The sequence below is a fragment of the Homo sapiens genome, chromosome 3 (assembly GCF_000001405.40).
Source record: "Homo sapiens chromosome 3, GRCh38.p14 Primary Assembly".
Taxonomy (NCBI): domain Eukaryota; kingdom Metazoa; phylum Chordata; class Mammalia; order Primates; family Hominidae; genus Homo; species Homo sapiens.
The window spans coordinates 191,277,336-191,304,962 of NC_000003.12; the positions used below are offsets into that span (position 1 = coordinate 191,277,336).

General features: G+C 36.2%; 1 protein-coding gene across 4 annotated transcripts in view, besides 3 other annotated features; it reads right to left on the reverse strand.

Moving 5' to 3' along the window:
* Window positions 1-27,627, reverse strand: part of UTS2B (urotensin 2B) — a 79,015-nt gene that overhangs the window by 10,168 nt on the left and 41,220 nt on the right. For all 4 annotated transcript variants that reach the window (XM_047447899.1, NM_198152.5, XM_011512631.3 and 1 more), the window contains 3 exons: window positions 27,157-27,213; window positions 4,752-4,978; window positions 737-835 (listed from right to left, as the gene is read on the reverse strand). In XM_047447899.1, coding sequence (XP_047303855.1) covers window positions 737-835; window positions 4,752-4,854 — 202 coding nt within the window. In that variant the 5' untranslated portion in view covers window positions 4,855-4,978; window positions 27,157-27,213. The remainder of the gene's footprint in view (window positions 1-736; window positions 836-4,751; window positions 4,979-27,156; window positions 27,214-27,627) is intronic.
* Window positions 22,074-22,253: an enhancer, noted in NCBI's record as "active region_20989". NCBI's record gives its function as "activates an Ori minimal core promoter by ATAC-STARR-seq in GM12878 lymphoblastoid cells {active_cell/tissue: GM12878}" and the evidence as "EXISTENCE:reporter gene assay evidence [ECO:0000049][PMID:35858748]".
* Window positions 22,264-22,323: an enhancer, noted in NCBI's record as "active region_20990". NCBI's record gives its function as "activates an Ori minimal core promoter by ATAC-STARR-seq in GM12878 lymphoblastoid cells {active_cell/tissue: GM12878}" and the evidence as "EXISTENCE:reporter gene assay evidence [ECO:0000049][PMID:35858748]".
* Window positions 24,600-25,125: an enhancer, noted in NCBI's record as "OCT4-NANOG hESC enhancer chr3:191019724-191020249 (GRCh37/hg19 assembly coordinates)". NCBI's record gives its function as "activates a minimal SCP1, AML or CMV promoter by ChIP-STARR-seq in naive and primed H9 embryonic stem cells {active_cell/tissue: H9 hESC(naive and primed)}" and the evidence as "EXISTENCE:reporter gene assay evidence [ECO:0000049][PMID:30033119]".

The following is a 27,627-nucleotide window of genomic DNA, read 5'->3' on the forward strand; positions in this document are numbered from 1 at the left end:
TTAGTTTAAAAACCCTGAATTTTAAAAGTATTTATTAAGTTATTCTTTTAACCAGCATTTTGTTCTATGAATACAGACATGTTTAGATTACTTCAGATGTTGTATGGGAGAGTAGCACGGTATCATATTGTCACATTTTCTCTTAAGCTAGACTTGTTAAATTTCTGACAAAATCTCAGTCATTTCTTGGAGGACAATCTCATGGATATTTGTAAGTCAGATTCTCTTGTTCTTCAAATAAAAATAATTTCAATTGGTGTAGCCTAAATTTTTCATTCATCATCTGTACTCCAACTGTTTCCTAAAATTGAAAGAATTTGATTAAAATAATGCTAAATTAACTACAACAAAGCTGCAGTTAATTTGTGAAATTTCTAGAAGAAACCTATAACTATAATACTTTTGAAACATTTAAGAAAATAAAATACTAGTGGTACTAGTGGAGAATTGCATAGATGAGAAGAAAATATGAATAAAGGTAACCTTTTTTTTTAACTATATGTTTACCAATCCCATTAGGACCCTCAAATTGACCAAAATAGGCTATTAATATTTGTTAATAACTCCATGGATTTAACATAAATATAAAACAAAAAAATCACTTAAATCTTTAGTGTAGCATATAAAAGAGTAATTATTTCATTTAATATAAATTAACATTTAGAAAAAGCAAGTCTCAAGACAAAATAAATTGTTATTTTTTAATAAATAGAGCTTGACTTTATGTTTAACTCACCAGTGTTGAAAGGTCTTTGGAAATCAAAATTTTTATTCAGTAGAGCCAGCAATAGTTCCTCACGATTTGTATATTTTTTATCTGGAAATATTTCATTTCCTATAATGATCAAAAACCACCATTTTCAATTTGAGTCACCGAAAATATTTCTAATTAAATTGGTCTTACAGGCTACTATCAATTTGTATATTTGACAACGAAAGAAATGTAGAGAGAGTGTATAGTCTGAAGGGATGGGTAATTTAAGAAATTATTGAATATATATTGAATGAATATGGACAGTCAGACAGACACAGAGAGAGAATATATGCATATACCTGGAGGTTGCACCCTAAAGTTTTACCTGTGATTACTTCTGAGTAGAAGAATTGGAGGTGAATTTTACTTTCTTCTTTTTAATCTGTGTTTCTGGAATTTTCTACTATTTTATTTAAAATAAGTATAAACTAAAAGTAGTTTTCAAAATAAAAATATAGCATTCTATTTTGTGATTTTATCTGATATACACATTTATATACACATTTATATATATAAGCCAGTTTGTGTTCCGGGAATTTCCTTCAAAGCATCCAAGGAAGATTGTGGCAAAGCTAGGATGGTGTCTACCTCTTCCGTATTAACATCTTTTAATCTTTGTCAATTTACCTCACAGCCATTCATTCCTCAGGTCCCTAAATGTCTCAGTACTGTAATTATCTTCATTCTGGAGTAGAAATTGAGACAAGAGACTTCTAGCAAGCTATAAAACATGAAGATTCAAAAAAAATCCATTGACAATTCAATTGAAATAATAATTAGTATATTACCATGAACTTTAGTGAGATGGTCTGAAAAATCAAACCTTTATCACATAATTTCTGTAAGATCATCTTTTCTTCTCCCTGCCTCTTTGTATTAACTGTTAGAGTGTGAGTAAAAGCAATATTAATGAGATTTAAGTTTAGGAGTGAGTACTGTGGTTTCAGCTAGAGAAATGGCTTATAAGTTGACTGGACTATTTCTTAAAATTACCTGTCTTTCCTGTCTCTACAAAATGTCAGTTGATAAATTCAAACACTTAAATGGCTAATTAAAAGAAGAAAATGAATAATTTGGGGCAAGTGACAGGATCACAGTTTTCTACATTAACCAAAGATACCTAATTGTTGCTCAATTCTTCAATTTTCTTTGCTTCATACACATAAAAATTATTGGTAAAATTTTCTTTTGAGTATTTAAAATACCAACAGAATATCAAATTTTGCTCAGCATCAATTATACAAAGACTCTCAGAGATAGTTTAGTTTAAAAGAAAAACATTATTATGAAATAATGTAATTTTTATTTTAATCATTCATTAAAAATGTTAAATTGTAATCTTTAAAATGTTTTCATTGAAAAAAGAAGGGATATTTCAGAGCCAGATAATAATTACTTGTTTCAGAAAGACAACTATGGTAAGAGAAACAGATCCATTACCTTCAATTTAGAAAATGTATATGACTAAGAGTAATGTAACTAGAAGAGTATGGATCTAAAGCTTTTTTCCCCTTAATTCACAATCCATTCCTCTGCATAGTTAAGTGAAACATTTTTCAAAAAACAAAACTGATAGATTTGCCTTTCTTTATTAGTTTTGCTTCCGATAATTATACCTCCATAACTCTTTGTCCTCAGAAATTTCTTATCACTATCTCTTAAGAAAAAAACCTCTTTTATGGGAGTCTCTGAAGAAAAACTTTTCTCAAGGAATTTTAAAAAGTTGATTTCTAAAGTAAGATATTGGCTAAAAAAAAGCAATAGAAAATGAGTCTTTTGTTTCTTGTTTTCATACTTAGTTTTAAAACAGATATAGCTTTAAAAGAAAACACATATATTTTTAATGTTTCTATCTTTGAACAGTTAATATTAATAAAGGAAATATTTGAATATAAAATATCTGAGTGTAGACACACATTTGACACAAAAGATGGCAAAGCTGCTCCAATACGAGAGAGTGTTTTTGCAAATATTACACAGAAAATGTTGATTCATTGCTACTCGAGATACTGAATCTTAAGAAATTTAGTTGTCTCTTTGCTTTCCATCTACATGGGAAGGTTTTTACTGCACAGAGACAAGAAATTTTACCAGAAAGAAATCTGGAAACTCCCAAAACGATTAAATTCACAAAAATAAATTTCCCATAATCTTCTTGGTCATGATACTCTTTCTTCCTCCTTTGTGTTAGGCAGTTTGCCCAATTTCAGGCTCATTCCCTCAGGCACACTTTTATATGGTCCCTACCAGATGTAAGTGGGGAGGATTGTGCCATTTGTCTTGGAGAGTTCTAACACACAGAAAAAAGCTGATAACCCCAACTTTGTAGTCTGTGTCAGCAGATAAATGCTTATTTTAAAATTATATTAGAAGACTAAAAGAAGTCAAATAGTGGATATAAAAAATGTATACATGGAGAAGAACTCCCTCTAATCTTGGACTATTTAGATAGAAAATAACCTTACTAATAATTTAATCTTCCTTATTTACATATAATAAAACTGAGATCAAAGAGGTCTCTGAGAGAAATAGCACCACTGTGCTGTCAGTGATATATGTATATCACTGTGTGGCATTCTGAGGTCAGAGGTGTTATTTAACTGTAATCTAGCAAATGATTTAGAGGCAGATTTTTCTCTGTTTCATATACACATGAAATTAGAAGTTACAATTACCTAATCCTAATTTTGCAAAGTCTTCAGCAAATAATCACATTTTTCCTCCCATATTCACATTACGTTAGAAACATTGGAAATCTCAATATTTCATAGAAAGAGCAACGTAGACCTACCAAATGCAATGATTGTGGCTGACCAAAGATAAAATGTGAGTGTCATGGATAAAATCCAGAATCTTTGATTCCCAGGCTTGTATTTAGGTCTCTGAGACTACTTGTTTTTCAATGGGAAAAATCCTCATAAATAAATAATAAGGGATTATGCAATTTTATTTCCTCTGCCAACAGAACTACTCTACTTTTTATTGATTGAGGTAACAAGGTCTGGTAAAATGGAATTAGAATCAGAAATTGGAAACTTGATCCCTTTTCTCAATCTAATGTCATGTAAACAAAATTTATTACATTCTGTCTTGGTTCCCCTTAAGTAAGCTGAGAGGAAAAGGTTATCTCCCTCTTCCTGACAAGGAAGTCAGAGGAGAGAAACAGCAAGAATTTCAGGCTGGAAAAGGTATTAGAGAACATTACTTTAAGTCACTATTTTGGAAACATAAAGAAATGTATTAAAGTTTCAATGAGGCTAAGTTGTTTGCCTGATAAATCATCACTAAATCTAGCTCTCAGGATTCTCAGTTTAAGAGCTACTTTTTCTATAGAAGCACCACAAATTTTAAATAAAAATTATGTAAATTATAATATTATAAGAGCAGAAACTTATTTTCACTAATTTTATCATGGTGTATATTTTCTAGCTGTCATAGATGGAAATGTGATAAACAATGTGTAATGTAGGTGTTAGCATTGCCCTCCTGAAACTGCTATGATTTCCCCCAATGCTTTACTTTCCTCAAATCTCTGCAAATACAAGTTTCTATCTTGATGTATTTTTCATTGTTGTACTCTATTTTCATAAAGAACTTACTAATAGTCTTGTAAGATGAAAATCTCCTTTTCCTTTCCCCAAGATAGAGTTTTGAAATATGAAGGATGCATTACTATTTATACATTCCCAATCTTTGGTCAGGGACTACAAATGAGAAACAAGTGCCCCAATATTTAAAAAAAAATAAACTATAGTTGAAGTGAATTTAGTGCAATATTGGGTAAAATTAATTTGGGTAAAATTAATCTACTTGAAAAGAACAGCATTGAAGATGACATTTAATTCTGACCAGCAACTACTTAAGGGAGATTTGGCTATTAAATAATATTTATTCCTTAAAACATTATTTCAACAATGGCAGAAAAATCAAATTTGTTCAAATAGAAATAGAAGAATTACTTACCCACCTGTAGGATTTTTAATTGATATGCACGTACCTTGGGTAAGATATGGTCGTCCATGCACAGATTGTAAAAAACTCAACACGGATAACAAAGTTAGGAGTCCAAAGCAAACAGTGCTTGAGAGGATCTTGTTCATGTTAAAAAAAACCTTCTGGACTAGCAAAGAAACAGACTTTCCAGGTCAAGATGGATATTTCTATAGCTTTGGAATTCAGTAGAGCTTAGTTGCAAAAGGCAAGTGTGCCTCAGTTACGAATGATCTAGATGAAGGAAAAAGAAAGAAAGAAAATAAATCTATAAAATGCAATGCAATCAAGTAGTTAACATGATTCACTACTTGGAGAAGTGACAGATTTGTTATGGAGTCAATGGCAGGAAGAACCCAATCAATACATCTCATACCCGCCCACTTCACTAAAAGCAAGCATTCCTATGCATGCCCACACATTCAAATAGATGCACAAGCATGAAGCAACATCTTGAAATAAAAAACTGTTGGATTTTCACAATTTATGGTTTAATTTCCAGATTCCAGGATTAATTAACCTCAAATCTTATTAATACTAAAGCTGAGAGCATAGAGGGCAGGTGAAAATGGGAACAATGTCTTTCATTTGACTACTTTTGAGCTAGGTGGTAGTCTTCCTGATAGTGATGTTATTTGCAACTATCACTTTGTTCTTAACCAACTGAATAAACTAGAGAAAAGCTCAAATTTGAAATGAATCATAATGGGATCACATTACTGTCTCACTATATTAGAAAAGGATGGCTTCATTTTGTTTCAAGCAGCTCTTTTAAAAATTAAGGCTGAATTTAATTAATTCAAAGCTGGCAAATGTCCCATCAGTTACTCTCTTTAATACTTGCTTTAATTGTGCTGGTTTTCTTTTTAAGTCAAAGTCTTTCAGTATATCTCCAATTTCAATTTTATGGCTCCAGTGATGTTATAGTATAATGACCTCCGATCTTGGCATTTACTTGTCCCAAAAGACTTTGGATGTATCCACTCTAAAATTGACTCTGTTCCAGTGCATACACTGCAGCACATGATGGTATTAACTAAGGAGAATGACTAATCTTTTTACTAACCCGTTGCTTTAATAAAGTTCCTGAATAAAATCTAAATTACTTAGTTTGATATTTAGGCTTGTTTTTCCTTTACAGTTTCATTTTTCACTATATATTTTTGTGTACCAGCCACATTAGACTACTAATTCATGAATATATCCTGCACTTTCTGCACTTCAGAGAGTTGCTGACATGGTTGCCTAGAATCCTTTATTCTACAACCTGCCATTTTACCTACTGATTCCTGAAGCTACTGATCAAATGCCACCAGAACTGTTTAGCCTTTTGGATCTTTTTTCTACTTTGAGTCATAACCTTTTTTTTCTCCTTTGGACTGCCACAACATTTTGTTTGTATATCTACTACAGTTCAAAATTCATTTCTTCTTTCATTAGTTATGTATTTGCGAGTCTGCCTCCACTATCAAATTGTAAATACTTTGAGAGCAGTTACAGTCATAGTCATTTCTGTCCCTATGTGCAAGTACCATAGTGGTTTGCGGGAAAAATGAGTGAAAACATGTTTGATGTGTGACTAAATAATAACCAAAATTTCTAGTAATTGAAAGGCAAAAATATAACCCCCTTAAACTTTACATCCAGTTATAAAGCTATATGAGCTGAAAGAATAATTGCAACTCTTTGTGTCTTACTTTCTTAAGAATTCAACCATGAACAATGATGAACCTAGATCCTAAAAGCTTATTCTTCCATAGCATTTCAAAACCTCTGTCATTCAAATATACCTTGATGATATCTGTCCTTATTTATTTAATAAGTTATTTAAATTAGCTTTCTAAGCTCTATTTTTAAAACATTATATCAAGATGGAAAATAGGAAATTAATGTCATGTGATGTAGAGAGAATATATAAATATGATGAAAGATTGTATAATTACAAGTCATATACTTAAAAATGAGATATAAAATAATAAATCTAATCAATAATTCAAAATAAAAACCTGAAAATAGGTTTCCAATGAAATTGGAAATTTAGATATGCACTGTATTAAAGACATATGCAGCTTTTATTGCCTTAATTTTAAAAATTAAGTATAAATAAGATTATTCTATTTTTTAAAAAGTGTTGATGTAAACTGAAAGAGGAACTCCAATTCTCATGGGTAAGAAGTTTTCCTGAAAGTGGCAAAATAATTTAACTGTCTTTTGATAAGGTTGAATACTGATTATTCTTTTCTTTTCTTTTCCTTTTTTTAAGAAGGAGTCTCTCTCTGTCGCCCAGGCTGGAGTACAGTGGCGTAATCATGGTTCACTGCAACCTTCACCTCCCAGGTTCAATCGATTCCCCTGCCTCAGCCTCTTGAGTAGCTGGGATTACAGGCTAGCACCACCATGTCTGGCTAATTTTTGTGTTTTTAGTAGAGACGGGGTTTCACCATGCTGGTCACACGCTGGTCTTGAACTCCTGACCTTATGATCCACTCACCTCAGCCTCCCAAAGAGCTGGTATTACAGGTGTGAGCCACTGCACCTGGCCCCAAAATGAATAATCAGGGCCAGGCACAGTGACTCACGCTTGTAATCCCAACTCTTTGGGAGGCTGAGGTGGGCGGGTCACGAGGCCAGGAGTTCATATTTATAATTTTGTTTCACATCTTTTTTTCCACAAAGTTTTAAGAAATCTGATATAATTTCCAAAATATTTTTCTGCCATATTTTAGGTAATATTGGCAAAGTGATGAAAAATAAGTCCCTAGCTGTCCTTCCAAAATGAAGGAGATGTAAAGACTTTCCCAGACAAGCAAAAGCTGAAGGAATTCATCACCACCACACCAGTCTTACAAGAAATGCTAAAGGGAGCTTTTCGTGCTGAAAGAACTGAGTGCTAATTAGTAACTTGAAAGCATGAATGTATAAAACTCACTGGTAGAAGTAAGTACACAGTCAACTTCAGATGCTCTAATATTGTAATGGTGGTATGTAAGTCACTAATATCTTTAGTACAAAAGTTAAAAGACAACACTGTTAAAAATAGTGCTTTAGATTTATAAGCTACAATAATTTGCTAAGGAATACACAATATAAAATTATGTAAATTGTGACATCAAAAACATAAAATATGAGGAGGTTAAGTAAAAGTGTAGAGTTATTTTACGTGATCAATGTTAAGTTGCTATCAGCTTAGGATAGTATGTTATAATAAGATACTTTATTTTAGCTTCACGGTAAGCACAAAGCAAAAACCTATGGTAGATACCAAAAGACAGGAAAATATGGAATCAAAGCATACCACTAGAGATAAATTTTAATCACAAAGGAAGACAGCAAGAGAAGAAGAAGCAAAGAAAGGATATACAAAACAACCAAAAAACAATTAACAAAATGGCACTAGTAATTTTTTACCTATAATTACCTTGAGTATACATGCATTAAATTCTCCAATCAAAAGACATAGATGAATAAAAACAATACCCAACTATATGCTGTCTACAAGAGACTCATTTCACTTTTAAAAATATACATAAGTTCAAAGTGCGCCCGGCTCGGTGGCTTACGCCTGTAATCTCAGCACTTTGGGAGGCTGAGGTGGGTGGATCACAAGGACAGGAGATCAAGACCATCCTGGCCAACATGGTGAAACCCTGTCTCTACCAAAACACAAAAATTAGCTGGGTGTGGTGGTGTGTGCCTACAGTCCCAGCTACTTGGGAAGCTGAGGCAGGGGAATCAATTGAACCCAGGAGGCGGAGGTTGCAGTGAGCCAAGATCACGCCACTGCACTCCAGCCTGATGACAGAGTGAGACTCCATCTAAAAAAGAAAAAAGAAAAAAGAAAGTGAAACGATGGAAAAAGATATTCCATGCAAATGAATAACAAAATAAATGGGATAGTTAAGCTTATATCAGATAAAATAGACTTCAAGACAAAAACTGTAAAATGAGACAAAGAAGGTCACTATGTAATGATAAAGGGGTCAATTCATCAAAAGGATATAATAATTTTAAATATGTCTGTACCAAATATTAGAGCAGCTAATTATGTAAAGCAAATATTAATAAATCTGAAGAGAGAGATCAGCTATAATACAGTAATAGTAGGTGATTTCAATACCCCATTTTCAACAATGAACAGATTGTACAGACAGAAAATCAATAGGGAAGCATGAGACTTAAAGGAAACTTTAAACCACATGAATCTAACAAACATATATAGGACATTTCATCCAACACCAGAATACACATTCTTCTCAGGTGCATGCCAAATATTCTCCAGGATACGTCATGTATTAGACCACAATTAACAAATTTAAGAAGAATGAAGTCATATCTTATATCTTCTCCAACTGCAATGGTATGACACTAGAAATCAATAATAAGGAATTTCAGAAAATTCACAAATACATGGAAATTAAAAAAATGTTTTCTACACAGCTAATAGACCAAAGTAGAAATTAAAAGGGAAATATAAGAATATCTGGAGACAAATGAAAATGGACACATGATGTACCAAAATGTATGGGATACAGCAAAAGTAGTTAAAAGGGGAAAGTCTGTACCAATAAATGCCTATATTAAAAAAAAAGAAAAGATCCCAAATAAACACCTATTACATCTCAAGAAACTGGGAAAACAAACGTAGACGAAGCCCAAAGTTAGTGAGGGGAAGGAAATAATAAAGATCAGAGCAGAAATAAATGAAATAGAGACTAGAAGAACAATAGAAAAGAGCAAAGTAAATAGGACTTGTTTTTTTGAAAAGATAAGAAAAATCCACAAAACGTTAGCTTGACTAAGATAAAAAGTGAGAAGACAAATAAAATCAGGAAGAATGTAATAGAAAAAAAAAATTGATACCACAGAAATACAATTGATCATGAGACCACTACAAGCAACTGTATGTCAACAAATTGAATAACTTCAAAAAAAATGGATAAATTCCTAAATTCAAACAACCTACCAAGATTGAATCATGAGGAAATAGAAAATCTGCATAGACCAGTAGTGAGTAAAGAGATTGGATTGGTAATAAAAAGTCTCCCATCAAAGAAAAGCCCAGAAAAAATCTGATAGCTTCATTGCTGAATTCAACCAAACATTTAAATAACTAATACAAATCATTGTCACACTCTTCCAAAAAATTTAAGAAGAAATAATACTTCCAAACTTATGAGGCCAGGATTACTCTGATACCAAAGCCAGATAAAGACATTACAAGAACAGAAAGCTACAAGCCAATATCCCTAACAAACATTGACACAAAAATCCTCAGCAAAATACTAACAAACCAAGATCAACAACACGTTAAAATGATCATTCACTATGATCAAGTGTGATTTATCCTAGGGATACAAGGATGTTTTACATACACAAATGAATAAATGTGATCCACCGAATTAATCGAACGAAGAACAAAACTATACAATAATTTCAACAGATGCAGAAAAAACATGATAAAATGTATATGATAAAAACTTTCATGATAAAAACTCTCAACATATTAAGTATGGAATGAATGTACCTCGGCACAATAAAGCCCCTATATGAAAAACCCATAGCTAACATTATATTCAAAGGTAAAAAGTTGAAACCTTTCCTTCTAGGATCAGAAACAAAATAAGTATGCCCACTCTCACCATTACTACGCAACATTGTACTCGAAGTCCTAGCCAAAACAATCAGAAAAAAAGAAAGAAAGAAAAGGTATCCAGAACAATTAGAAAAAAAGAAAGAAAGGAAAGACATCCATATAGGAAAGGAAGAAGTTAAATTGTCCCTGTTGCAGACAGCTTAATCATGTATATAGAAAACCCTAAAGATTCCATCCAGTAATTTAGAAATACTATGTGAGTTCATTAAAGTTGCAGGATACAAAATCTATGTTCAAAAATCACTGGCCTCTGTATATACTGACAATGACCTACCCAAAAATGAAATCAAGAATGTCATTTGCAATGGATATCCCCTCAAAAAATTATTAGGAATACATTTATCAAATAAGGTAAAAGACCTGTATACTGACAACAACAAAACATTGATGAAAGACACAAGCAAATGGAAAGATAGCCTGCTTTCATGAATTAGAATAATTAATATTGTTAAAATGTACATACTACCAAAAGTGATGTATAGCTTCACCGCAATCTCTTTTAAAATTCCAATAACATTTTGTACAGAAATAGAAATAAAAGCAATCCTAAAATTTGTATGGAACTACAGAAGATCCCAAATAGCCAAAGCAATTTTGGGCAGAAAAACGCTGGAGGCATCACATACACTACATTACTACAATATACTACAATACTATCATTATCTAAAGAGCATGCCACTGGCATAACAACAGATAAATAGACAAATGGAATAGTATAGAAATCCCAGAAGTAAATCCCACTGAAGATCAATTGATTTTCAACAAAGATGCCAAGAACATACCACAGGGAAAGGAGAGTCTTTTCAATAAGTGGTGTCAAAAAAACTGAATATTCACATTCAAAAGAATAGAAGTAGACCCTTATTCCACGCTATATGCAAAAATCAACTCAAAGTAGATTAAAGACTTAAGGCCTGATACTGTAAATCTACTGTAAAAAAAAAACTACTTTTTTCTATTTCTGTACAAAATTTTATGGGAATTTTTAAGAGAGATTGCATTGAAGCTGTATATCACTATTTACTACTTTATCCCACACTATATGCAAAAATCAACTCAAAGTAGATTAAAGACTTAAGACTGGACTCTATAAAACTCCTGCAAAAAAACACAGCTGAAAAGCTTCGTGACATTGATTTGAGCAATGATTTTTTGAGATACGATTCCAAAGCACCAGCAACAAAAGCAAAAACAAACGAGATTACATCAAACTAAACAGTTTTTGCACAGAAGTTAGTATCCAAAATATCTAAGAAACTCAAACAAATCAATATCAAGAAAACAGCTCAGCTTTAAAATAAGCAAAAGACCTTATGGAGAGTCCTCAAAAAATTAAAAATAGAACTACCAGATGATCCAGCATTCCCACTACTGTTTATATATCTAAAAGAAATCAGCCAGGCGCAGTGGCTCACGCCTGTAATCCCAGCACTTTGGGAGACCGAGGTGGGTGGATCACGAAGTCAGGAGATCGAGACCATCCTGGCTAACATGGTGAAACCCCATCTCTACTAAAAATATAAAAAATTAGCCAGGCATGGTGGCAGGCGCCTGTAGGCCCAGGTGCTCGGGAGGCTGAGGCAGGAGAATGGCGTAAACCTGGGAGACAGAGCTTGCAGTGAGTGGAGATTGCGCCACTGCACTCCGGCCTGGGCAACAGACCAAGACTCCATCTCAATAAATAAATAAATAAATAAATAAATAAATAAATAAATAAAAAACAAACGAAATTAATATGTTCAGTGCTCTAACATATTCATCACGGCATTATTCCCAATGGCCGTGATATTGAATCAAGCTATGTCTATGATGGGATGAAAACGTAAAGAAAATGTGGTATATATGCACAATTGAAATGTCTTCAGTCATTTAAAAGAAGAAAATCCTCTCATTTGTGATAAAATATATAAGCTTGAAGGATATTATGTTCAATAAAATAAAACAGACACAGAAGGACAAATATTTTTATTTGTCATAATTTCACTTTTATGTGGAATCTAAGAAAATGTGAACTATTAGAAGCAGAGAGGAAAATGGTAGTTACCAGGAGCTTGGGTTGTGGGGAAGGGAGAATGTGTAAGAGATGTTTAAAAGACACAAAATATCAGTTAGATAGCAGAAGTTAAGTTTCAGAAATCTGTACAGCCTAGTGATATCATTAATAACAATGTATTTTATTGTTGAAAATCACTAAAGAAGTAAATTTTAAGTGTTCTCACCACACAAAAATGTTGTATGTGAAGGAATCATATGCTAATTTCTTCAATTTAGTCATAACATAATGTATACATATTTCAATACATCATGTTGTACACAATAGATGTACAGAATTTTGTCAAATTTTTAATGAATTGATTTTTAAAAAGAGACATAGACAAAGAAGTCCCTGTTTCATGACCATTTCCATCCACTTTGGGGAAAAGTCTGCAAAGATCTTTAATTAAATCTTTTATCTCTCTCTCTCCTTAATAAAATACTAAATTCTTGTCATGAGTGCATAACCAAATCATTCAAATAAAAGCAGATGTTTACTATCGATTGTATTGGATGGATAAATGAAGTTAGAATATTTGTTTGAGGAGTTCTTGTTATACACATTTATAGTATATAGCAATATTATTGTTGCCATTTATTGAGCAATCATCACATGCCAGGCCCTGTACTAAGCACCTCACAAATAGTACCTCATTTAATTTCCATAGCAATCCCTCAACAATTGCACAACTATAATTTTTCATCTTTTACAGTAAAAGAAGACAGTTTTGGAACCAAAAGTGAAACCCAGATCTACCCAACGCAGAGCTACATGCTTAACCCACATGATCTCTTGCCCACATATCACAATTGGGGAAACACAGAGATAGAAAATGATTGCTCCAATAACAGAGACCCCCATTTTAAAGAAAACTTAGAAACATTTGAACTTTGTATTTTCAATAGCAATACTTTAATAACTCAGTCTATGTATCAATTACAGGATATAAATGGCATTTCCATTTTGTCAATGAAGGCTTCGTCAAGTTATAATTTACAGGGAACAGATAGCTTTAAGATTCACTTGCATCTGACTATTTCTCACGATGAGTGACAAGAAAAGCACAGATAAGTGTTTGTATGGTGACTCAAACTGATTTGAATAATTACTTTCAGACTCCAGTAAGCTCTTGGCCTTATTACTTTTTTTGTAGTAAGAAAATTGAACAATTTTATTTTTACTTCTCTCTGACTATTAATTCTTGGTAGAATTCCTTACATGTAGTTAAATGAAAAAAATAGCGGAAGGAAGGAAGCAAAAGTAGAGTTTCTGACATCCTGACAAGACGGTGCTTGGAGTTCTTTTTTTCATTTAAAAGAGTTAACAATGGCCTGAATTTGTTGAAATAAAGTAGAAACATCTGTTCAAATACTTGGCCCTTTTTAAAAATTGAGTATTTTTATTGTTAAGTTGTAAGAGTTCATTGTATTCTGGATTCTAGTTCCTTATCAGATACATAATTTGAAAACATTTTTTCACAATCTGAGGGTAGTTTCACTTTCTTGATCATGTCTTTTGAAGAACAAAGGGTTTTATTTGAAAAAAGTCCAATGTATCTATTTTTTCTTGTGTTTCTTGTTTTTGAGTACTATAAGAAACTATTAGCTACTTGAAAGTCACAAAGATTTATGCCTATATTATTATCTAAGAGTTCTATAGTGAAACTCTAAAATTTAGGTCTTTGAACCACTTTCTTTTTTTTTGAGACAGAGTCTCACTCTGTCACCCAGGCTGGAGTGCAGTGGCGCCATCTCGGCTCACTGCAAGCTCCACCACCTGGGTTCATGCCATTCTCCTGCCTCAGCCTCCTGAGTAGCTGGGACTACAGGCGCCCACCACCACACCTGGCCAATTATTTGTATTTTTAGTGGAGACAAGGTTTCACCACGTTCACCAAGATGGCCTCCATCTCCTGACCTCGTGATCCACCCACCTCAGCCTCTCAAAGTGCTGGGATTACATGCGTGAGCCACCGCGCCCGGCCTGATCTACTTTAAGTAAAGTTTTATATATGGTGTGAGGTTGGGTTTCACCTTTATTTATTTATTTATTTTCGCATGTGGATATCTAGTTGTCTCACCACATTTGTTTAGAAGATAATTCTTTCCCCCATGAATGGTCTTGGTAGCTTGTCATAGATGTATGGTTTTATTTCTGAACTATAAATTTTATTCCATTGACCAATTTGTCCATTCTTATACAAGTAAAATATTGTTTATTAATGTAGCTTTGTAGTAAGCCTTGAAATTGGAAAGTGTGAGACTTCTAATGGTCTATTGTGAAAAGCTGTTTTGATTTCTCTGTATCCCTTGCATTTCCATATACATTGTAGGATCAGCTTGCCAATTTCTGAAAAAAAAAAAAGAGGTTGCAGGAGGGAAGCTAAGATTTTGGTAGAGGTTGCACTAAATTTGTGAATTAATTTGGAGAATTTTTCCATCTTAAAAATGTTATGCCTGGATCTGTGAACACAGAATATCTTTATAATTAATTAGGTCTTTAATTTCTTTCAATGTTGTTTTGTAATTTTCAGTGAACAAGTCTTATGCTTCTTTGGTTCAATTTACTCCTAAATATGTTATATTTTTGATGCTATTTCAAGTGGAATTACTTTCTTAATTTTATTTTTTGCGTTGTTCTTTGCTAGGACATGAAATTGTCCTATAATTGATTTTTGCATATTGATCTTTGTATTGATTGATTTTGTATAATTGATTTTTGCATATTGATCTTATATTTTGCAATCTTGCTGAACCCATTTATTAGCTCTGTTTATTTATTTTTTCATAGATTCCTTAGGATTTTGTACATAGAAGATCATGTCAACAAATAGAGACAGTTTTACTCTTTCCTTTTCAATTTGGGTATCTTTTATTTCTTTTTCCTACCTAATTGTCCTGGTTAGAACCTCCAGTACAATGTTGAATAAAAGTGGTGAAAGTGGACCTCTTTGTCTTTTTCTTGAGCTTAGAGGGTAAAGCTTTCAACTTTTACTGTTAAGGATGATGTTAATTCTGGATTTTTTTGTAGCTGCCCTTTACCAGATTGAGGAAGTTCCCTTCAGTTTCTAGTTTGTTGAGTGTTTTTATTATGAAATGCTATTACATTTTGTCAAATGCCTTTTCCCCTCTATTGAGACGACTATAGAATAAAATTCCCCCAGGAGGCAGAAGGTGCAGTGAGCAGGTATCGCACACTGCGCTCCAGCCTGGGCAACAGAGAAAGACCTCGTCTTAAAAAAAAAAAGAATAAAGTTCTCATCCTTTATTCTGTTAATATGTTGTATAACATTGATTAATTTTTGTTTGTTAAATAAACCTTGTATTCCAGGATAAATCTTATTTGGTGATGTTGTGTGTTACTTTTTATATGTTGCTGGACTGTTTACTAGTATTTTATTAGCAACTTTTGCATCTATATTTATAAGAGATGCTCTGTAGTTTTATTTTATATATGTCATTGTCCAGTTTTGATATCAGGGCAATACTGGCCTTGTAGAATGAATTGAAAATGGTCTCTTCTCTTTTAAGTTTTTGAAGAGTTTGTAAAGGATTAGTGTTAATTCTTCCTTAAACATCTGGTAGAATTCAATAGTGAATTCATCTGTTGTTTTATTGTGGGAAGTTATCTTGAAATACTGATTCAACCTTTTTACTTCTATAGATCAATTCTATTTCTTCTTAATTTGGATTTGCTAATTTTTGTCTTTCTAAGAATTTATCCATTCCATATAGGTTTCTAATTGTTGGCATTCAATTATTCATAATATTCCTTTGTAACTATTTTGTCTCTGTAAAGTTGGCAGTAATATCCCCAAACTTGAAATTTGATTATATTTTTTAAATCTGTAAATATTCTGTCTCATCTTTATTAAGAAGAGCCATGAGATATACAGACATTTCATCCAGAAGGGGCTTTGATCTAGTGGATGAGCATGGCAGCAGGAATTTTCAAACATAAACATGCTATAATGTGGAAGTTTAGTCTATTTTCAAGCAGTATCTTCAATAGTGGTTGAGAACATGAAAGATGCCTAAGTAGAAGTGAGGGCCTGGTGCAGTGGCTCACGCCTGTAATCCCAGCACTTTGAGAAGCCGGGGGTGGGGGAGTCGGGGCGGATCTCCTGAGGTCAGGAGTTCAAGACCAGCCTGACCAACATGGAGAAACCCTGTCTCTACTAAAAATACAAAATTAGCCGGGCGTGGTGACACACGCCTGTAATCCCAGCTACTCGGGTGGCTGAGGCTGGAGAATCGCTTGAACCTGGGAGGGGGAGGTTGCGGTGAGCCAAGATCGCGCCATTGCACTCCAGCCTGGGCAACAGGAATGAAAACCCATCTCAAAAAAACAAAAACAAAAACAAACAAACAAACAAACAAAGTGAGTAGGGGATTTTGGTCCAGCCTGAGGATTTCAAGTCAAGGATTAGACATACCGTTCTACCCTTGTATCACATGATGGAAAATAAAACATTATTTAGAATCATTACCTAAGGGGAAACCACTGAGCAAGGATTCAACTGAAATATAAAGGCCCTGGTAATAGGAAGAGAGCAAAAACTGGATTCAAACTCCAGGGTCTATTAGAAGACGCAAATTTAAATTAGCAGTGCCTTTGTAAGAAAAAAAACTCTCTAAGCCTAAGCATGTTGTAAGCAGCAGGAAACCAGACTCTCAGAATTAAGACCAGAGAAAAAAACTGTCAAGAAAATGATTTGTGACTCCATTTAAAGGGTGGACTCCTTGGCCAACAGGAGCTATGAGCTATGATAAATGTCCATGTTGTCACTTACTTTCTTCAGCTTCCAGGGTGATGGTAGTTCTAGAAAAGGTCCATCCTATCAAGGATCAGGGTCTCTTATATGTATTCTTCCAATCTTCTCAGGAGCTTTTATATTATCAATTCCTTTTATAGCTTGCATCTTTAATCTCTCTCTCTACATAATTTTCCCAAGTATCACTAAAAAAAAAAAAAATCTTGACCAGGCATGGTGGCTCATTTCTGTAATCCTAGCCCTTTGGGAGGCAGAGGCTGGTGGATCACCTAAGGCCAGTAGTTCGAGACCAGCCTGAACAACATGGTAAAATCCCATCTCTACTAAAAATACAAAAACAGTAGCCGGGCATGTTGGCAGGCGCCTGTAGTCCCAGCTACTCAGGAGGCTTAGTTATAAGAATCGCTTGATCCTGGGAGATTGAGCTTCCAGTGAGCTGAGATCGCGCCACTGCACTCCAGCCTGGGTGACAGAGTAAGACTCCGTCTTAAACAACAACAACAACAACAACAAACTTTTTGTCTTCCATCTTAAAACAAAACAAAACACCAAATAAGTTTTATTAGGACACTCATATAATCTTCTACCTACTATGTCTAGTCTTTCCATCCCATTCAGGCCAAACTTCCTAAAATAATTTTCTGCCTCTAATACTTTTCACATGTTTACTCTTCAATCCCTTTGAATCTCACTTTCATCTTTCCCTTCACTGAAATACTAAAATAGCCCTTTCTAAAAATCTTATTGCTGCTAAATCCAATAAGCACTTGTCTGTCCTCATTTTCCTGGGTATCTCTGCAGTGTCTCCATTGCTGACAACGACCTGCTCCTTGGAAAACTCCCTAGTTTTCTTTTTTTCTCCTACTTTCCTGGTTATACTTTTTCGGCTTCTTTTAGCATTTCCTCTTTCTCTGACCTTTAAAAGATGAACTTTCTCAGGGTTTGATTCTAGATTTTCTTTTATTATCATGCTTTGATATATTCCTAGTAGATACATGGGTTTAATTACCTTCTACATGTCAGTGACTCCAAAAGTTATACCTCTCTCCCCACCTCTTTTGTACCACACCTGTGCATCCAAAGACACTTTCCCACCTGGTTTTCTTACAAGGCTTCTCAACCATGTCACAAACTGAACTACTCATCTTTACCCTAATGTATCATTTATTTTTCAGTATTCACTGTCTTAGAAAATGGCATGACCATTTACCCAGTAATTCATTGAAGAAACTCTTTCCTCTCTGTTGCGTCTTCTTTTCCAATCAATCACAAAGTCATCAATTAAGTCTCTTAAATACTTCTCAAACCTTTCACTCCTTCTATCTTACTTGCTCCCTAGATCAAGAAAGCATCATCTTAAACACCTGCACTGCTGAAATACCCTCAATAAGAAGTCTCATGTTCACTGTTTCTCCCCTTCATTCTCCAAAAGCTGTTAATCTTTTGGAAATGTAATTATCAGTCTGTAATACTACCATTTAAAATCCTTCAACTGTTTTCCATTACCCATAGATAAATATTGCGAGTCATAACATGATCTAGAAAATCCTACATTACCCGCCTTCACCCACCTCTCAATCTCATCTGTATCTGTCTTCCCCTTTTCACAATTCAACCACAAATACCCTTCTTTCAGTTCTTCAAAAATGTCAAGCAACTTTCTGCCACAAGGACTTTGCACCTGCAGGGAGGCATACTCCCCTTCCCCAACTTACACACACTCACACACACACATACACACACATACACACATACTCCATTTTAAGCCTCAATTAAAGTTGTGGCTTCTTCAACAAAATCTCCCCTGATTTCTCCAGATTAAGCAGGTCATCCTGTCAGAGCCTTTCACTCCACTGTGTACATTTCCTCAACAGCTCATATCTCAACCGTAAATCAATTACTCTATGTTTTTGTACAGTGTTTCTCTCCATTGCACTACAAGCTTCAATATGCCACTGTGTATATTTACCTTGTTCATGACTGTGAACATACGGTTACTATCTCCAGTAACCACAATTCCTGGCCCATAATTGTTTGCCCAGAAATATCTAATAATTAAACAAATGAATAAAGAAATAGAGTAAGAGAACACTTGTGGTTCTGTTTGTGCTTCCATGTCTCTCCTTATAAAATTATTTCAAACCCCACCTGCTGGAGGGAAGTCTGATTATTTTACACACAAAATAGGTCTTTCTTAAGGAAAGCGGGAGGCTGAGTGTCTCCAAAATTAGGCAGGCCTGGGAATTTCAAATCCAGAATCTCATTGCCTAGAGGAAAAGATAGCAAGAGAAATCCAAGGCTGGCATATTTAGCTGGTTTTCTCCTAAATGGAGGAAATAACTGGCATTGAGCAAGTGAGGTAGAGAGGAATCAAACATGACTGTGGTTATTTGATAGGCAAATTAACTAAAAACAGATGAACACCTCAATGCATTCATAGAACAGGCAATAAACTGTAATGATGCTTATTGCGCTTGGGAAACAATGTCAACATCTGTGAGAAAGAAAAAAAAACCTTTTCTTTAAATGAGAATCTCTTCAAATGAAGAGCCTTCCTATAACTTCTGTGCCTTTTCTCCTTGTGTGTGTCTTTTGGATTTGAACTGTGGATTATCCTAAAAGTTTTGTCCCTGAGGGGTATCTGACTCATAGAGTAATATTAATACTTCTGTCCTTGGCCACTTTCTTAACTTTATTCTTATTAGGAACTAATTTCTTGAGTCTCATCTGCTCTTCTCTCACACTCATTTCAGCTTTTTCTTTTCTTTTACCCTGATAGCTGGTTTAGACCTTTCCTCACTGTTCAGTAGAGAGAGGAGAATGCTTTCAAGAGACCATTTCTTTGTTCACACAATTCCCCTTGTCTAGAAGATCTTTATACTTCATTTAGCCTACCTGGTAAACTCATTATTTTAAAAATGTGAGATCCAAGGTCATATTTTCCAAAAATAATTCCTTGATTCTCTTTTTAGGACAAAATTAATTGCCTCTTCTTTCATATTCTTGTAGCATAATATAATGTGTTATTTTACCTGTTGCAATATATTTGTTAGTAATTAAGTCAAAGTGTAGGTCTCCCTCTAAATTCTGGGTGGCCTGAGGACAAGGATAGTAATGCCTCATTTTTCATTGCACTACACAACTTCTAGCCTGTGGTGTGGATTAAAGGAGAAGACAGATAATAAAATATTCAGCATTACACCTGGCACATAGTGTTAGTTAAAGTGGATAATTATTTTATCATCGATTATCCTAACTGAAATAATCTCTATTTACGAACCAAATTAATTTTTTAAAAACCTTATTTATTGTGATAATGCACTTAAATAAGTATTTACATTGTCATTCAACAGGTTAAGTGTTCTTGGTCACCTGCTTTAGAAAATAAATAACACTTTCTACTTCTGTCATATAACACTGAGAATTCCAAGCGCTGGGCTTCTGTCTCTAACATGTAAGATGTTTAGGCTAATTACATCTGAGATCCTTTCCCTTTGAACACTCTGTGGCAATATTTTGATGAATCCTTTCTTATCATCAACTGTTGCCTAGTTGTAGCATATATATTCATCTTTTTATTTTTTAGGGAAAAAAGGTAAGCCAAGATTCTTATACATTTAACACCCAATGTCGTACCTAGCACAATAATAGACCCACAATAACCTTGTGAAAAATGTATACATTGAATTCCAAAAAAAACAGTCACTGCTTTAACTTGGAGATACAGTTTGGATTTTTGCCCCTGCCCAAATTTTATGTCAAATTGTAATCCCCAATATTGGAAGTGGATTCTGGTGGGAGGTGTTTGGATCATGGGGTAGATTTCCCCCCTGCTGTTCTCATGACAGTGGGTGATTTCTCATGAGATCTGGTTGTTTAAAAGTGTGTGGCACCTCACCATTCTCTCTGTTCCTCCTGCTCTGGCCATGTAAGATGTGCTTGCTTTCCCTTTGCCTTCAGGAATGATTGTGTTTCCTGAGGCCTCCCCAGAGCCATTATGCTTTCTGTAAAGCCTTCAGAACTGTGAGCCAGTTAAACCTCATTTCTTTATAAATTACCCTGTCTCAGATGTTTCTTTATAGCATTGTGAGAATGGACTAATACAGAAAATTGGTACCAAGGAGTGGAGCACTGTTATAAAGATACCTGAAAATGTGGAAGCAGCTTTGGAACTGGGTAACAAGAGGTTGGAAGAGTGTGGAGGGCTCAGAAGAAAATAGGAAGATGAGGGAAAACTTGGCACTTCATAGAGACTTGTTGAATGGTAATAACCAAAATCTTGATAATGATATCGACAGTGAAGTCCAGGATAAAGGGGGTCTCAGATGGAAATGAGGAACTTATTTGGAACTGGAGCAAAGGTCACTTTTGTTATTTGTTAACAAAGAGATTGAATGCATTATGCCCCTGCTCTAGGGATCTGTGGAACTTTGAAATTGATAGTGATGATTTAGGGTGGCAGAAGAGATTTCTAAGCAGTAAAGCATCCAAGATGTAGCCAAGCTGCTTCTAACAACAACATATGCTCCTATGCAGGAGCAAAGAAGTGATCTGAAATTTGAACTTACATTTAAAAGGGAAGCAGAGCATAAAAGTTTGGAAAATTTGCAGCTCAGCCATATAGTAGAAAAGAAAACTCCATTTTCTGGGTAGAATTTTAAGGCAGTTACAGGAATTTGCATAAATAAAAGGTAGGCAAATGCTAATAGCCAAGACAGTAAGAAAAAGGCCTCCAAGGCATTACAGAGACCTTTAGGGGCAGTCCCTCCCATCATATGCCCAGAGGTCTAGGACGGAAGGATGGTTTTGTGGGCCAGGGCAAGGGCCCCAATACCCTTTGCAGCCTCTGGACACTGCTCTTCACAGCTCAGTTGCTTCAGCTCCAGCCACGTCTAAAAGGACCCCAGATACAGCTCAGGCTGCTGCTTCAGGGAGTGCAAGCCATGAGCCTTGGCAGCTTCCATGTGGTGTTAAACCTGTGGGTGCACAGAGTGCAAGAGTTGGGGCTTGAGAGCCTCCACCTAGATTTTAGAGATGTACGGCAAAGCCTGGATGTCCAGGCAAAAGCCTGCTGCAGTAGCTGAGCCCTCATGGAGAACCTCTACTAAAGCAGTGCAGAGGGGAAGTGTGGGGGTGGAACCCCCACACAGAGTCCCCACTGGGGCATTGCCTAATGGAGCTGGGAGAAGAAGGCCACCATCCTCCAAACACCAGAATTGTAGATACACCAACAACTTGTGCCCTGCACCTGGAAGAGCCACAAGAAATCAACACCAGCCCTTGAGAGCAGCCACGGGGGCTGAACCCTGCAAAGTCACAGGGGTGGAGCTGCCCAAGACCTTGGGAACCCACTCCTTGCATCAATGTGCCCTGGATAGGAGACATGGAGTCAAAGGAGATTATTTTGGAGCTCTAAGATTTAATGACTGCCCCATTGGCTTTCAGACTTGCATGGTGCCTGTAGCCCCTTTCTTTTCTTTTTTTAACATTTTTTTTTATATATACACATATATACATTTTTTCTTTGACACGGAGTTTTCGCTCTTTCACCCAGGCTGGAGTGCGGTGGTGCAATCTCGGCACGCTGCAACCACTGCCTCCTGGTTCAAGCGATTCTCCCAGCTCAGCCTCCCGAGTGGCTGGGATTACAGGCGCCCACCACCATGCCTGGCTAATTTTTGTATTTTTAGTAGACATGGGGTTTCACCATGTTGGCCAGGCTGGTCTCAAACTGCTGACCTCATGATCCGCCCACCTCAGCCTCCCAAAGTGCTGGGATTACAGGTGTGAGCCACCGTGCCTGGCCTGTAGCCCCTTTCTTTTGGCCAATTTATCCCTTTTGGAATGGGAGTATTTACCCAATGCCAGTAAATCCATTGTATCTTGGAAATAACTAACTTGTTTTTAGTTTTACAGGCTCATAGGCAGAAGGCACTAGCTTTGTCTCAGATGAGACTTTGGACTAACTTTTGAGTGAATCCTGGAATGAGTTAAGACTTGGGGGACTGCTGAGAAGGGATGGCTGTATTGCAATGTGAGAAGGATGTGAAACGTGGGAGGAGCCAGAGGCAGAATGACATGGTTTGGTTCTGTGCCCTCACCCAAATGTCACATCAAATTGTCATCTCCAGTGTTGAAGGTGGGGCCTGGTGGGAGGTGATTGGATCATGGAGGTAGAATTCCCCCTTTGGGGCTGTTCTCATGACATCTGGTTGTTTAAAAGTGTGTGGCAACTGCCCCCTCTCTCTCTTGCTCTTGCTCTGGCCATGTAAGATGTGCCTGCTTTATGTTTGCCTTCAGGTATAATTGTAAGATTTCTGAGGCCTCCCCAGAAGCTCTATGTTTTCTTTACAATCTGCAAAACCATACAATAAGTAAACCTCTTTTTAAAACAAATTACTCATTCTCAGGTATTTATTTATAGCAGTTTGAGAAAAAACTAATATTCTTGGTATGGTTACTCTTTTTCCTCCATAAATCTATTTTTGTGTGCATTCCATTTTATCACTTTTTCTTCTTTATTTATGAAAGTGACTTACTGCCCTAACCAAAATATGTCACCTTCTTTCCTTGACTAACCCAGCCTGTTCCTCTTTAGGTGGATTTTAGCTGTCTTTCCGGGTGGTGAAACAGATTCAAGAATTTGCATAAGCTTTAGTGAAACTAGAAAAGAAAATTTGTCTCATTCTAGCTGGTGCCCTAAAGATTTGAATGGAAAAAAATACAGTAGTTCAGACATCCCTGGCTTTGCAAAATGCCATTTTGCTCAGTCTTCATTGAGTCACAGTGCCACTACCTTGTCTTCCACAAGTTTCACTGAGTTTCTCACCACAAGAGTGTTGAGAACTGTGAAGATTCTTCAATGTTATCAAAACATTGAGTTATAGATGAAGTTAGATACTGAACAATTGGTATTTGTTTTATTAACTAAATTTTTGGTAATTTTTTTTTTTTTTTTTTTTTGAGATGGAGTCTCGCTCTGTCGCCCAGGCTGGAGTGCAGTGGTGTGATCTCGGCTTGCTGCAAGCTCCGCCGCCTGGGTTCACACCATTCTCCTGCCTCAACCTCCCGAGTAGCTGGGACCACAGGCGCCCGCCACCATGCCCGGCTAATTTTTTTTTGTATTTTTAGTAGAGACGGGGTTTCACCGAGTTAGCCAGGATGGTCTCGATCTCCTGACCTTGTGATCCGCCCGCCTCGGCCTCCCAAAGTGCTGGGATTACAGGCGTGAGCCACCACGCCCGGCCAATTTTTGGTAATATTAATACATCTATGGAAACCCTATTCAAAGAGCAGTGCTCTAGAAAGATGTCATTATCAAAATGAGATTTCTTCCTCTGACAGAATCTGTTAGATGGAGTCAATATTTATGGAGTTTTTATCCTGCTTGTGTCAGAGGCATTTGAAACAGAGTGACATCATCTTGAATAGGGGCTGGGTAAAATTAGGTTGAGGTCTGCTGGGCTGCAATCCCAGGGGGTTAGGCATTCTTAGTCACAGGATGAGATAGAAGGTCAGCACAAGATGCAGGTCATGCAGACACTGACCTGATAAAATAGGATGCAATCGAAAAGCAGGCCAAAACCCACCAAATTCAAGATTGCGCTGAAAGTCACCTCCGGCCATCCTCACTGCCCATTGTAAGCTAATTGTAATGTATTAGCACACTAAAAGACACTCCCGCCAGCATCATGACAGTTTACAAATGCCATGGCAACCTCTGAAAGTTACCCTGTGTAGTCTTAAAGGAGGAGAAACCCTCAGTTCCTCTAATTTCCCACCCCTTTCCAAGGAAACTCATGAAAAATCCACCCCTTGTTTAGCATATGATTAAGAAATAACCATAAACACAGCCAACCAGCAGCCCTCAGGGCTGCTCAGCCTATGGAGTAGCCATACTTGTATTCCTTTATTTTCTTAACAAATTTGCTTTCACTTAATTCTGTTGGCTCACTCTTGAATTCCTTCCTGGGCAAAGCCATGGACCCATGTGGCCTCCCAGGCTGAAACTCAATTCTAGGTTTCAACCTGTGACACCTGTATAATTTATACCTCCTGCCTGTATATGATTGTTTAGCTGAGCTGTTCGTTAAGTCCATTAACTACTATAACAACATAAACTCAGATTTATTGGCACTACTGTTTGCTTTGCTAAGACATGGAGATTGAGAAGAAAGGATTCTCTGGAAGGCAAAGGTTGTAGAAACTGTTGGGACTCAGAAAAATTATGCCCCAGAATATGGCACTTTTGTTACGCTGAGTGCTTTGAACTAAAGGAGAAACAAGGCCTCTCTGACCTTCTCTGTTCCCCTAGTCTCTTGCTCCTCTTTCCCTCCCAAAGCAGGCATGAAGAGGCTCTCTCTAAAGTTCCCTTAACTCACTAAAGAAAGTTCCTGTGAAAGGAATGCAATTGTCATGAGGCCCCTCCTTACAATAATATCATCAAATAGCGAAGATTAACTAACAGGAAAGGAGAAAAAAGATTGACACTACCTATTCTTCTGTGGACTGCTACCTGAGAAACTTCATCTGCACAAAAACAGCATTTGTTCCTCATGTGTTTCTTCCCTTCAGCACCCCATAACCTGTGGCCGCCTGACTCTAGATGTCCCAGTCCCCTATATCTTTTTGTAGCTGAGGATACTGTATAAACTTCAACCACCCAACTCTTCTGGGAGTCTCATACTTTGTAGGACCCACGTGCATATCCACATAATAAACTTGTGGTATCTTTTCTCTTGTTAATATATCTGCTGTCAATTTATTCCAGAGACTCAAATTGTCAAACTTTCAGAGGGTGGAAGGAAAATTCCCCTCACCCCTATAAAACTATCAATTTTATTGTCTTCTGAGGTTCAGCTCCAATCATAGCTTTAGCATGAGATATCTCTAACAGACATCCCACATGTCCTTTGAACACACATTTGCTCTGAAAAGGAAGAATTCAAGATAAAAATTTGGGCAGTAGTGTCTGGAAACACATTTCCTTAAAAAAAAAAAAAAAACTCACTGTTAATTCACAAATGCCTATTTATCTCTAACCATGTGACTATCATGTTACGAGGTTTAAAATCATTCAAGAAGTTGTGTTCCTTATTGAAAAGAGCCTATCACTAGGACTCAGAATGCCTAGATCTAATCTATGATGCACTACTCACAAATATTATGACATTGGATGAGTTCTGATGTTTTTATCTTGTTTCTCTCCCAATGTTTTTCCTTGTATTTCAGATTGACAGTACAATGAACAGTTGTCTGCGGAGTATCACATGTGGTTTTGACCAATGCTCATGCCATTTAAGATTAGAATCTGGCCACGCAGATGTGGTCAGAGAACAGGATGAGGCACACACTTAGTTAGGTCCAGCTTGGTCCCAGACTCTTCAATGGGGAAGGATATATTGCAGAAGAAAGAATTGCCTGGTGGCTTTTTTTTTTTCTTTTCTGAGATGGAGTCTTGCTCTGTTGTGCCAGCTGGAGTGCAGTGGCGCAATCTCGGCTCACTGCAACCTCCGCCTCCTGGGCTCAAGAGATTCTCCTACCATAGCTGGGATTACAGGCATGCGCCACCATACCCGGCTCATTTTTGTACTTTTAGTAGAGACGGGGTTTCACCATGTTGCCCAGGCTGGTCAAGAACTCCTGACCTCAAGTGATCCACCTGCCTCGGCCTCCCAAAGTGTTGGGATTACAGGCGTGAGGCACTGCGCCCTGCCTGGCTGGTGGCTTTTAAAGGAAACCTGAAGCAAACTTCATCTAGTGAAAGATGGGAATTTGAGAAATAAATATGCTGGTTTCCTTGATCTTCACTGGGGCAACTCTGAAATATGTTGCTCACCATCATCCCAGTTCGCTAGAGAGGTTATGTTCCAGTTGCCCACGTTGGTAACTAGCTAGTTAACATATTCTATTGGCATTTTTCCTTTCCCAGGTACATTTCTCCTACTCACCATTCTCTCGTGCTATTTCCTCCCAAATAAACTCCTTTGACTTGGATCCTTCTGCTTCTGCAGAAAGCAAATTTATACAATGTGAATATAATGCTCTCGTATCCTCTTTAACCTCAAATTCTATTGTACAGAAACTCACCAAACACTAGCTATTTTTATATTGATTGTCATTTTTTCTTTTTAAACTTTTAAGTTCAGTGGTACATGTGCAGGATGTGCAGGTTTGTTACATAGGTAAAAGTGTGTCATGGGGTTTGTTATACACATTATTTCATAACCTAGGTAGTAAGCATATATCCATTAGTTATTTTTCCTGATCCTTTCCCTCCTCCCACCCTCCACCCTCCAACAGGCCCCAGTGTGTGTTGTTCCCCTCTATGTGTCCATGTGTTCTCATTATTTAGCTCCCTCTTACAAGTGAGAACATACCATATTTGGTTTTCCTATGTCAGCTTTAGTTTGCTAAGGATA